Raw genomic sequence first — 14,354 nt, 5'->3', positions numbered from 1 at the left:
GAGTTATTCAATGATATCCACCATAACTCAAACAGAGGAAGAAAATCCTTCCACCTTCCTCAAGCAAATACAGGAGGCCTTAAGAAAGTATACTACTCTGTCACCCAACTCACTTCAGGGTCAAATGATCCTAAAAGATAAGTTTATTACCCAATCAGTAACAGACATCAGGAGAAAGCTCCAAAAACCAGCCCTGGGGCCTGAACAAATCTGGAGGCATTATTAAACCTGGCAAGCTCAGTGTTCTATAATAGGGACCAAGAGGAACAGGCCAAAAAGAAACATGAAATCAGAGATAGGCCTCAGTCTTAGTCATGGCCCTCAGACAAACAAGCCTTGGTAGTTCAGACAGGGTAGAAAATGGAGCGGGCCAATCACCTGGTGGCTCTTGTTATCAGTGTGGTTTGCAAGGAGACTTTTAAAAAGATTGTCCATCAAGAAACAAGCCGCCCCCTAGCCCATGTCCACTATGCTGAGGCAATCACTGGAAGGTGCACTGCCCCAGATGGCAAAGGTTCTCTGGGCCAGAAACCCCCAACAAGATGATCCAACAATAGGACTGAAGGTGCCTGGGGTGAATGCCATCTCCTGCCATCACCCTCACTGAGCCCCAGGTATATTTAACTATTGAAGACCAGGAAATTGACTTCCTCTTGGACACTGGTGCTGCCTTCTCAGTGATAATCTTCTGACCCAGAAACATGTCCTCAAATTCCACTATCATCTGAGGAATCCTGGAACAGCCTGTAACCAGGTATTTCTCCCACCTCTTCAGTTGTAACTGAGAGACATTCGTCCTTTCATATGCCTTTCTTGTTATCCCAGAAAGCCACACAACCTTATTAGGGAGGGACATTTTAGTCAAAGCTGGAGCTATTATCTGTGTGAATATGGGGAACAAGTTACTAATTTTTTGTCCCCTACTTGAGGAGGGAACCAAACCTGAAGTCTGGGCATAGGAAGAACAATTTGGAAGGGCAAAAAATACCCACCCAGGCAAAATCAGGCTAAGAGACAGTGCCACTTTTCCTAATCAAAAGCAAAATCCCTTAAGGCCTGAAGCTCATAAAGGATTACGGGATATTGTTAGACATTTAAAAACTCAAATCTTAGTAAGAAAAAGCAGCAGTACCTGCAACACCCCAATTCTAGGAATACAAAAACCAAACATCAGTGGGGAGTAGTGCAAGATCTTAGACTCATCAATGAGACAGTAATTCCTCTATATCTTGCTAGCTCTATATCTAGCTGCACCCAACCCTATACACTTCTCTCTCAAATACAAGAGGAAGAAGAATGGTTCACTGTTCTGGACATCAAGGATGCCTTCTTCTGTATTCCCCCACACTCTCACCCCCAGTTTCTCTTTTTCTTTGAGGATGCCACAAAACACGTCCCAAATTACGTGGATGGTCTTGCCCCAAGGGTTTAGAGATAGCTCTCATCTGTTTGGTCAGACACTGGCCCATGATATAGGCCACTTCTGAAATCCAGGCACTCTAGTCCTTCATTATGTGGAAGACTTACTTTTGGCTCCCAGTTTGGAAGCCTCATGCCAGCAGGCTACTGTAGATATCTTGAACTTTCTATCTAATCAAAGCTACAAGGTGTCTAAATTGAAGGACAAGCTCTGCCTACAACAAGTCAAATATCTAGGCCTAATCTTACCCGGAGAAACTAGGGCCCCTGAAAGGAATGAATACAGCCTATACTGGCTTATCCTCTCCATAAGACATTAAACCAGTTGTGGGGGTTCCTTGAAATCACCAGCTTTTGCCAACTCTGTTTATGGGAGGGTCCAGCAATGGCCATCTTAGTATCAGAGGCTGTCAAAATAATAGAAGAAAAGGATCTTACCGTTTGGATTACTCATGATGTAAATTGCATACTAGGTGCCAAAGGAAGTTTATGGCTATCAGACTACTGCCTGCATAGATACCAGGCATCATTCTTCAAGGGACTGTTGCTTCAAATACACATGATTGTGACACTCAATCCTGCGATTTTTCTCCCAGAAGATGGAGAACCAATTGAGCATGACTGCAAACAAATTATAGTCCAGATTTATGCTGTCTAAGAGGATACCTTAGGATTCCCCTTAGCTAATCTTGACCTTAACCTATATACTGATGGAAGTTCATTTATGGAGAATGGGATATGAAGGGCAGGTTATGCCATAGTTAATGATGTAACACTACTTGAAGGTAAGTCTATTACCCCAGGAACCACAGCTCAGTTAGCAGAAGTAGTAACACTTACTAGAGACTTCAAATTGGAAAAGGGAAAAAGAATAAATGTGTATACATATTGCAAGTATGCTTATCTAATCCTACATGCCCACACTGCAATATGGAAAGAAAGGGAGTTCCTAACCTCTAGGGGAAACCCAATTAAATACCACAAAGAAATCATGGAGTTATTGCACCAAGTTCAAAAACCCAAGGAGGTTGCAGTCTTACTCTGCCCAAACCATCAAAAAGGTGAAGGAGAAAAGGTAGAAGAAAATCTTTGGGCAGCTGCTGAGGCCAAATTTTCTGCCAGGCAGAATCTCCCACTAGAAATACCTATAGAAGGACCCTTGTTATGGGAAAAACCTCTCCTTGAGATTAATCCCCAGTATTCCCTGACAGAAACAGAATGAGGACTTTCATGGGGGCACAGTTTTCTCCCCTCAGGGTGGTTAGCAACAGAAGAGGGAAGGGTACTCATACCCAAAACCAACCAGTGGAAAATACTTAAAACCCTACACAAAACTTTTCATATGGGTATTGAGAACATTCATCAAATGAACAAATCCCTATTTACAGGGCAAATTTCCTCCAGACCAAACAACAAGTAGTCAAAGTCTGTGAGAAGTGCCAAAGGAATAATCCCTTGGTCCATTCTAAGGCCCTCCTGGGAGAACAAAGAATAGCTCACTATCCCAGAGAGGACTGGCTGTTAGGCTTCACCTATATGCCTAAATCAAAGGAATTTAAATACTTGTTGGTATGGAAGTGGTTAAACTTTTAATTCATGAAATAATTCCTAGATTTGGGATTCCCTAAAGCTTTCAAAGTGTCAGTTGTCTGGCTTTTAAAGCCATGATAACTCAGGGAATTTCCAGGGCGCTGGTGATATCTGCATCACCTTCACTGCACCTGGAGACCACAATCCTCAGGGAAGGTGGAGAAGGTAAATGAAACACTCAAGAGGCACTTAAGGAAACTAACACAAGAAACTCATCTCCCATGGCCTACTCTCTTGCCCATGGCCTTGTTGAGAATCTGAAATTCTCCTCACAAAATGGGGCTCAGTTCCTATGAAATGCTGTATGGATAACCTTTTCTCACAAATGACCTCCTACTTTATCAGGAAATGGCCAACTTGATGAAGGATATAACTTATTTGGCAAAATATCAATGAAACCTTAAAAACATACATGAAGGATGTTACAGAGAAAAGGGAACAGAGCTGTTTTAACTGGGAAATCTAGTGTTTGTCAAATTCCTCCCCTCTAACTCCCCATCTATGATTTTTTGTGGAGAGAACAATACTCAGTAATCCTCTCTACCCCCACTGCAGTTAAGGTGGCAGGAGTGAAGTCTTGGATTCACCACACCCCACTTAAACTTTGGACACCTGCTAAGGAACCTGCTGGACAAACAGCTCAGGAATCCAAGGATCAGCAAGAGTAGGCTAGATACACCTGTGAGCCATTGGAGGACTTACATCTTCTTTTCTGGAAGGAAACATCCCAGACTAAGAAGACTCTTACAGCTGATCCTGAGGAAAAATCCCTTCCTACTTAAAAAGGTAAGTGAAAATCTACATAATTTTTAACACCTCTCCTTGCCCTTTTAATGGAATTCTTTTACTGTTTCATCACATTAAGCAGCATACTAACCATACTCTTTGCAATAGGGCTATATACTGTAGCTCCTGCAGGGATAAATATCCTAACCACATCAACCTCCTTTCTATCATCCTTCCTTCTGACAGCAATTTACTCCTACTTTTAACTCAGACTGGATAAAATGATCTCATCTTCAAAGCACCCTCTTAACCTTCCTAATTACTCTATGCCTATCTATCATTCCTGCTTCCTGGGATACCCCACACAGTCACCCCTCCCCTTCCACTAGCTTCTAATTAACTCTACAAGACTCTCAACTTAACCCAAACTCTGTTAAACCAGTCCAATCCTTCTCTGGCAAACCACTGTTGGCTATGTATCTCTCTACCTACCACTGCTTGCGTTGCAACTCTCATTCCCGCAAAAAAATTAGGTCTCTACTAACTTAATCTACCACCCTCATTATGAAGGAAGAGATCGTTTCTCACTTCTAAATATGTAACCATTACCCAACTTCACCATCTCTGATAGGACCAAGAATACCCTAATATGACGCACAATCCAACTTTTATGTTCTTACATTTCCAATCTCACCCAATACATAAGCAATGAAAAGCCAATACATGGCACTGTAACTGCGAAAACCATCTTAACTTCCCAAGACCCTTTACGCATCCAACACAACCTGTTATCAGGCCTGCCCCTGGGGTACCTACCTCCCCATCAGTGTAATTACACCCCACAACTTCAAGCCCCAACTGATCATAGTAACTTCCGAGTCACACAAACAGCTCCATTCAGACGGCTTGTCAACACAGCCTCCAAAAATTATCACCTCTTCCCTGCTTAGCAAACAGTTTAGGTTTTGTAATGGCAACCATACTCCCTGCATGACCATTCACCTCTGGACTCCCTGCAGCACCATCCTCACCACTAATGGATGCCTTCTTCTCCCCTCTTTCAATCACTCTCTCAAATTGTTCCTAGTAGATACAAAATGTTTGTTTGTTTGTTTGTTTGTTTGTTTTTCCAATGGGGAAATAGAACACATTCTTCTTATGTGGAACTTCAACATTTATCTGCCTCCCCACCAACTGGACAGGCACCTGCACCTTAGTCTTCCTAAGTCCCGACATTAACATTGCCCCAGAAAATCAGACCCTATCAGTGTCCCTCAAAGCTAAAGTCTGTCAGGGCAGAGCCATACAACTAGTACCCTTACTTATAGGGTTAGGAATGGCTATGACTACAGGAACCAGAACAGCCAGTTTGTCTACTTCATTATGCTACTACCACACTCTCTCAAAGGATTTCCCAGACAGTTTGCAAGAAATAACAAAATCTATCCTTACTCTACATTCCCAAACAGAATCTTTGCTAGCAGTGACTCTCCCAAACCGCTGGGTTCTAGACATCTCCACTGATGAGAAAGATGAGAAAGGAGGACTTTACACCTGCTTAGGAGAAGAGTTTTTTTGTTTTTGTTTTTGTTTTTGTTTTTGTTGCTGTTGTTGTTGTTGTTTTACACTAAGTAGTCAGGGATAGTATGAAACACTGCTCGGCATTTACTGGAAAAGTCTTCGAAATCAGACAATGTCTAGAGTTGAGTGATATGGCTTCTCCCCTTTCTAGACCTCCTGACAGCCATCTTAATATTACTCGCCTTTGGGACCTGTATTTCTAACCTCCTTGTCAAATTTGTTTCCTGTAAGATGAAGGCCATCAAGCTACAGATGCTCTTACAAATGGAACCTCAAATGAACTCAACTAACAACTTCTATTGAGGACCCCTGGACAGAGCCACTGGCCCTTTGACTGGCCTAAAGAGTTCCCCTCTGAAGGACACTAAAACTCCAGGACCCCTTCTTCACCCCTATCCAACAGGAAGTAGATAGAGCCATCATCACCCAATTCCCAACAGCATTTGGTGTGTCCTGTTTAGAGGGGGTATTGAGAGGTGAAGTCAGCTGGACTTCTGGGTTGGGTGGTGACTTGGAGAAATTTTCTGTCTTACAAGAGGTTTGCAAAATGCACTAATTATCACCCTGTAGCTAGGAATGCAAAATCCACCAATCAGTGCTCTGTAGCTAGCTAGAGATTTGTAAAATGCACCAATCAGTGCTCTGTAGCTAGCTAGAGGTTTATAAAATAGACCAATGAGCAGCCTGTTAAATGGACCAATCAGCAGGACATGGTTGGGGACAAATAAGGGAATAAAGGCTGGCTACCCCACTCAGCAGCGGCAACCCACTCAGGCCCCCTTCCTTGCTATGGAAACTTTGTTCTTTTGCTCTTCAGAATAAAACTTGCTGCTGCTCACCCTTTGGTTCTATGTTATCTTTAAGAGCTGTTACACTCACCATGAAGTTCTGCTACTCCATTCTTGAAGTCAACAAGACCACAAACCCACCAGAAGGAATGAACTCCAGACACAAAGAGGAGGAGAAAAGGAATAAAAAATTAGAAAGAGAAGGAGAAGGAGGAGAAAGAAAAGAAAAAAACCCAAGCAGAAGGAGGAGGAAGAGAAGGAGAAAAAGAATGAAAACATGGAGGTAGGGGGAATAAGAGGAGGAGGGAAGAAGGAGGAGCTAAAGAAGAAAGGAAGAGAAGCAAGGAATGATAGTCACATACTGAGAACCCTTTTGCATTATCTACACAGATTTCATGTTCGGTTACTTGATGAATTCAAGGCTCTAAGGTAGCAAAAATATAAGTCAACAATATAAAGTGTACTCCTGGACTCATCTGAGTTTCACAGGCTGTTGTAGGTTAGAGTCTTCTCTGCAGGGCATGAGGTTTTATATATTTCCTCTTTTTTTTTTTTTTTTTTTTTTTTTTAAAGAGAAGGAGGAAGAGTAGGAGGAAGAAAAGTAGGGAGGTCTTGCTGGCTGAGAGTTGTCTGACATGATCCGGAAGTCACTGCTTCACCATGGGGAGATTGTTCTGGGTCATTGTTTACCTGATGCAATCTTTGATGGCTGTCTATGGAGGTACCTTCAAGTTCTGGTAAAATGACCCAACGGTCAGGTCAGGAGGACTCTGGACTGAGACTTGTATGTTTACAACTGCATACCATACAAACGGTCTGACTCAGGACTCCTGTAGCCGAGAGAATTTACAAATTCTGCTTCCCACCTTGGTCTGTTCTTTCTAGCCCCCTCACCTGGCTGCACTCCTATACCCATACCTGATATCTGCGGTCCAATTTTATTCTAAAGGTTTTCACTGGGAACTTGCGCTCCAACACTAGTCCAAGGATAGAACCTTCCCAGCAGGTTCCCAGGGCACCTGCTCTGAGATTTTACCTCTTGGGAGAGAAAGGACGATATCCTGAAGTGAGTGTTTTATTTATTTATTTTTCTAAAGTGAATTGGAGAACTAAAGAATCAATCTCCTCAAACTTGAGTATGGCATGGAGTTAGATTGGAATGACAAGAGAAGCTGGTGGATTGGGTTTAAGAAAGGCTGTGTACCTATGGTTTGACAGAGTGGTGGATTTGCTGGCATTAGCTTGTGTGACCTGAAATAAGGCTCAGGTGTCCTACAGCTAAGCAAGATGGGGGACGTCTTATTGGAGGCCATTGAAGGAAATTCTTAGGTGACAGAGAGTCAGATAGTGGCAGATTAGAAGATTTGGATGGAACCAGAAAACAGATCCATTAAAAAATTGTGATAAGAATACTTAACATGAAATTTATCCTCTCAAATTTTTAAGTAGAAAAAACAGTATTATTACTTTTGAATTATCTCACACTTAAAATAAATATTTGGTTAATTTTTGGGAAACCGGTGGTGTTTGGTTACATGGATAAATTCTTTAGTGGTGATTTCTGAGATTTTGGTTTACCCTCACCCTGGTAGTGCACACTGTACCCAATATGTTGTCTTTTGTCCCTCATCCCTGTCCCACGCATTCCCCCCAAGTTCTGAGTGACCATTATGTCATTCTTATGCCTTTACATCCTCATAGCTTTTGCATCCTCATAATTTAGCTTCCACTTATCAGTGAGAACATATGATATTTGGTTTTCCATTCCTGAGTTACTTCACTTAGAATAATGGTCTCCAACTCCATCCAGTTTGCTGCGAATGCTATTATTTTGTTCCTTTTTATGGCTGAGTAGTTGAGAAGACAGTATTATTAACTGTAGGCACAGTGTTTTATACAGCAGATCAGAGCTTATTCATCTTGTGTAACTGAAGCTTTATACCTACAGAACGACATCCCAGTCCTCCTCAAAGCACCTGGCAACCACCATTCATCCTCTGCTTCTATGAATTTGCTGAGTTTAGACTGCACATATAAGTGAGACACGGCATTATTTGTCTTTCTGTGCCTGGCTGATTGTGCTTAGTATAATTTCCTGTGGGTTCATCTGTGTTGTTGCCAATGATTGATTGCCTTTTTTTCTTAAACCTGAATAGTATTCCATTATATATATACATGACATTTTCTTTACCTATTCATCCATGCACTGACACTTAGGTGGTTTCCATGCCCAGGCTATAGTGAATGATACTGTGGTAAACATGGGGGTGCAGTTGTCTCTTTGATAATTTTATTTCATTTCATTTAGAGAAATACTTACAAGTGGAATTGCTTGGTCACATGATATACTTATTTCTAATTTTCTAAGAAACAGGAAATAGCCATTTTTTAAAACAACATCTGGAAGAGGAGAGGAGCCATTGAGATAATTTCCAACACGTTCCTGTATGTTTTTTTCGAGTCGTTGTTTATAGTGTATAATAAATAAGTTAACTGCTTTGCAAATATTATGTAGTTCAATCTTCCCTTACCTTTGGAAACAGGTTGGTCTTAAAAAGCTTATCTGTGCTGTCTTTGAAATAAGATTTGGGGACAATCTCTACAGTTAAAGCATATGAATTCAGTGAGCTGCAGCTAACATTTTTGTCATCCAGAGAAAATGAGAAAGAGGTTTGATCCCGATATAGCTCTTCATATGGTTTGGCTCTGTGTCCCCACTCAAATCTCATGTTACATTGTAATTCCCTGTGTTGGGAGAGGGATCTGTCTGGTAGGAGGTGATTGAATCTTGGGGCCGGATTTTCTTTCTGCTGTCCTCCTAATAATAAGTGAGTTCTCAAGAGATATGGCTGTTTAAAACTATGTAGCACTTCTCCCTTCACACTCTCTCTGTCTCCTTCTGGGCATGTGAAGATTGTGCCTGCTTCCCACTTCACGTTCTGCCATGTTTGTAAGTTCCCTGAGGTCTCCCCAGCCATGTCTTCTGTACAGACAGCAGAATTGTGAGCCAATTAGATGTCTTTTTTCTATACATTACTCAGTTTCAGTTATGTCTTTATAGCAATGTGAAAATGGACACATCCAGCTCTATTGAGTCAGAGAGTCTCAACTTCAGGCATTCCTGTTTGGGGACGAATCCTCACCATATTATTCCGGTAGGTCTGTCGTAATAATATTCCACAGCCTGTGAGATTTAAACAACGGAGATTAATTTTCTCACAGTTTTGGAGGCTGGAAGGCCAAGATCAAGATGATATTAAGACTGGGGTCTGGGGAGGACGCTATTCCTGGTTTGCAGATGGCCACATTCTTGCTGCATTCTCACACAGCAGAAAGAAGGAAGGGGATAGGTGATGGGAAGAGAGAGAGATAATGAGCTCTGTTGACCAGGGTTGGTGGGAGGGAGAATGAGGATGAAGATGTCTAGTAGGTATAAAGTTTTAGTTATGTAGGACTTACAATCTCTGATTTATCGTGCATATCATGCCTATAGTTAAAAAAGCTGTGTTGTATACTTAAATATTTAAGCAGATAAATTTCATATTAAGGGTTTTTACCACAATAAAAGAGAGAAAGAGAGAGGGAGAGAAAGAAAGAGAGAAAGAGATATAACTGGTGTTTCTTCATCTTGTTATGAGGACACCAGTCCTATAGGATGAAGGCCCAACTATTATGACCTCGTTGCATCTTTATTACTTGTTGATAGGCTCTATCTCCAAATACAGCCACATGAGAGTCAGGGTCTCCCCATATAAGTTTTGAAATTATGTCTTTCAGTCCATAATACCTACTGCAGCCCAGAGCAATGTGTTCTCTTTCCTTTGGCTGATGGTGTTGATGGAGTAGGAAGTAAGAATTTCATCCCCATCCTATACAAAACCTGTGGATTCTGGAACTTCTCTAATGGGCTGCAACTTGTTTTCAAAATAAGTAAGTGAAATTTGGGGCCCAGTGCCTCACACTTGTAATCTCAGTTCTCTAGGAGGCACTTGAGCCCAGGAGTTTCAGACCAGTTTGGGCAAAATAGTGAGACCCCATCTCTACAAAATTTAAAAATTGAACAGATACCGTGGTGCACTTCTTTGGTCCCAGCTACTTGGGAGGCTAAGAGGTGGGATGATGACTTGATACTGGGTGTCCAAGGCTGCAATGTGTTACAATTGTGCCACAGCACTCCAGCCTGGGTAACAGAAGGAGACACTGCCTCCCTCCAACCCCCTCAAAAAAAGTAAGTGAAAACTTCAGGGACATGCTGGCACGGGTTTGAAAACTCATGGCTTTCTCCCATGGTCACCCAGCACTGGAAGCTGTATATGTTTGAGGTACTTTCAGGTGTTTTGGACCATATAAAAATAGGATTAGTTTTTCACACCATTGAATGTCTGCCACTTCTTCCTGGGATATAATTGGTGTGCCACTTACCTGTACTTTTTTAAATAATGAGGCCAGTGTTATCATCTTATAAATAAGTGCAGTTCTTAATTTATAAACTTTCTGCTAATTGCATATTACCCTTCCCTTCTATGTCCATAGGGATTTTGTATTATCTTCTAGAAAACCGAATAAAAGTTGTAAAGTCAATGAGATTAAACTATCTTTAAAATTCCCAACATTCTGATGACACATTTCTTTCAAAAATTTCCCCAAAGTGGTGCACAGATAAATCTTTTAAGATAAAGTCTTGTATAAATATACAGAAAGATTGGGATCTATTTGTGCATTGAGTTGTGGACAGTGTGGGGATGGGGAGGGCAAGGATTCTCTCTGCTCTTAACCTTGTTTTTTAATTAAAAAATGTTTTTATGAGGACTTACTCTGTTGTCCAGGCTGGAGTGCAATTGTGTAATCATGACTCACTCCAGCCTTGAAATACTGGGGTGAAGCAATATTCCCAGCTTTGTCTTCAGGGTGCTCCACCATGCCCAGCTAAATTTTTATTTTGTTTTTTGTGAAGATAGGATCTTGCTGTGTTGCCTACACTAGTCTTGAACTCCTGGGCTTCAGTGGTACTTTTACTTTGGCCTCCAAAAATGCTGAAATTACATGTGTGAACCACTGGGATTGGTCCTGGAGATTAACTTCTGAGGTGACTGAGGTGATGTCCACTGTAGGCTTTGAGAGCTAGGAAAAGGTATTTTTTTCTCTATCGAGAGGAAATGTATAGAACATAAAATACACCATTTTAAAGTGTAAAACTCCGTGATATTTAATATGTTCACAACTGTATCTCTATTTAGTTCCAAAACATTTTCATCCTTCCAAAATGAGACACTGTACCCACTACAGATCACTTCCCATTCCAGCTGTCCATCCCCTAACAACCACTAATTTATGTTCTGACTCTGTGCATTTGCCTGTTATAGACATTGGGTATAAATGGAATCAAACAACGTATGGTCTTTTGTGCCTGGCTTGTTACACTGAGTGTGGTTCAACAGAGTTGTGCAAGTATCACCACTATCAGTTTTCGAACATGTAGCTAAAGAGTATGAAGCTTCCTACTGAAGAAATGAAATGTTCTAAAACTGACAGTGGTTATGGTTGCACAATCCTGTGAATACACTAAGAACCATTGAATTGTATGCATTAAGTGGGTAAATTTTATAGTATGTAAACTATATTTCTATAAACCCCTTTACACCCCCCTCTGTCCATCCCTAAGCAACCACGAATCTACTTTCCATCTACATTGATATCCTTGTTTGGGCTTATCCTGTAAATAATATCACTTGGAACACAGCCTTTTGTGACCGGCTTCCATCACTTAGCAAAATGCCTTCAAGTTTCACTCATGCGGCGACCTGTGTCAGAACTTCAGTCCTTTTTAGGGTTGAAGAATATTCCATTATATGGATGGATCATATTTAGTTTATGCATTCATTTGCTGACAGGCCATTTGATGCTGTTACCACCTTAAGGCTATTGTGAATAATGCTGCTGTGAATATGTATGTTAAAGTGTTTACGTGAAAACACATTTTCATTTCTCTTGGAGATATATTTAGAAATGGTAACCGCCATATTTTAAATGTAAAATATTAGGCTTGTCTTAGTGTTTCCAAATTTTTGCTTCCCCATTCATAAAATACAGTAATACTTTCCTTATAGGATTTGCGTGAAAATTATGTGATTTTTAGTTTGCAAAGAAGATAAGAAGCGACTGGTACCTCATGAGTGCTTCAAAAATAACAGCTGGCTTGGTGCAGTGGCTCATATAATCCCAGCACTTTGGGAGGCTGAGGTGGGTGTATCATTTGATGCCAGTAGTTTGAGAACAGCTGGGCCAGCATGATGAAACCCTGCCTCTACTAAAAATACAAAAATTAGCCAGGCATGGTGGCGGGCACCAGTAATCCCAGCTACTCAGGAGGCTGAAGTGGGAGAATCACTTGAACTGGGGAGGCAGAGCTTGCACTGAGCCAAGATTGCACCACTGCACTTTAGCCTAAGTGACAGAGAGAGACTCTGTCTCAATAAATAAATAAATAAATAAATAAATAAATAAATAAATAAATAACAGCTGTGGCTACTATATGTAAAAATAAATTTTAGAAAGAAGAAACCCCATATAATGAAGGTGATGGCTTGAAAGCACAGAAGAGGTTACCACGGATTCACATTTCTTTGTTGATGGCTGAATTGTATGCCCAAGTGAGATATGTTGAATCCTGAACTCTCAGCCCGTGAATGTGGCATTATTTGCAAACTGGGTATTTGCAGATGTAGCGAAGAATGTACGTGATGTCAGTGATGCAGATAGAGATTAAGGACCTAAAGATGAGACATTCCTGGATTAGGGAGGGGCCTGAGTCCTGTGATAAGTATCCTTCTAAGAGATGGAAGAAGAGACAGACACATCAGAGAAAGTTGTGTAGAGCAGGAGGCAAAGACTTGACTTATACAGCCAAAAGCCCAGGGACACCTAGAGCCCCAGGAGCTGGAGATGGAGGAGGGATTCTCCCCTAGAGCTTCTTAAAGGAACCAAACACAATCGCAATGGATTGAATGGTGATCCCCCCAAAATATGTTCAACTTCTAATACGCAGAAATTGTCATGGTATTTCATTTAGAAATAGAGTCTTTGAAGATGTTAGTAGTAAAGGATTCCATGATGAGCTTATCCTGGATTTCAGAGTGTATTAGTCTATTTTCATGTTTCTGATAAAGACATACCCAAGACTGGGCAATTTGCAAAATAAAAAGTTTTAATGAACTTACAATTCCACATGGCTTGGGAAGGCTCACAATCATAGGGGAAGGCAAGGAGAAGAAAATTACAACTTAGGTAGATGGTGGCAGGCAAAGAGAGTGCATGTGCAGGGAACCTCCCGTTTTTTAAAACCATCAAATCTTATGAGACCCACTCATTATCACCAGAACAGCATGGGAAAGACCAACCCCCATGATTCAATCACTTCCCACATCTTCCTCCTACAACATGTGGGAATTGTGGAAGTTACAATTCAAGATGAGATTTGGGTGGGGACACAGCTAATCCATATTAGGGAGGGTCCTGCATCCAATGACAGGTGTCTTTCTAGGAGACAGATGAGGAGACACAGACACAGAAGAGAAGAACTGATGGAGACAAAGACAGAGACTGGAGTGATATGGTCACAAACTCAGGGGTGCCTGGAGCCACCAGGAGCTGGAAGAGGCAGAAAGAATCCTTGTTTAGAGCCTCCAAGAGAAACTGGACACAACTGCAATTAGTTAAATGTTGGCCCTAAAACATATGTTCCTGTCCTATCCCCCAGAACCTCTGAATGGAACACTATTTGGAAATAGGGTCTTTGCAGATATAATCAAGTAAAGACCTTGAGATGATATCATCCTGGATTAGGGTGGGCCCTGAATCCAATGACAGGTGTTCTTCTAAGACACAGAAGAGGAGACACAGATACAGAGCAGAAGTCCACACAAGAGGTAGAGAGACTAGAGAGATGCATCCACAAGTCTAGGGATGCCTGATGCCCCCAGGAGCTGGGAGAGGCAGGAAAGATCCTTCTTAGAACCTCCAGAAAAAGAGCAGCCCTGACATACCTTGATTTCAGACTGCTGTCCTCTGGGACTGGGAGACAATAAACTCCTGTGTTTTTAAAAGCTGTTCAGGTTGTGACAATGCATTATGGCAGCCCCAGAAAAACCACATGGGGTAAATACACTTGACACCCAAGAAGTGCTTCTTGCCAGGCACAGTGGCTCACACCTGTAATTTCAGCACTTTGGAAAGCTGAAGTCGAACAATTTC

This window comes from Homo sapiens, chromosome Y, assembly GCF_000001405.40.
Source record: "Homo sapiens chromosome Y, GRCh38.p14 Primary Assembly".
In the NCBI taxonomy this organism is placed as follows: Eukaryota; Metazoa; Chordata; class Mammalia; order Primates; family Hominidae; genus Homo; species Homo sapiens.
Note: the sequence above shows the minus strand (reverse complement) of the source record.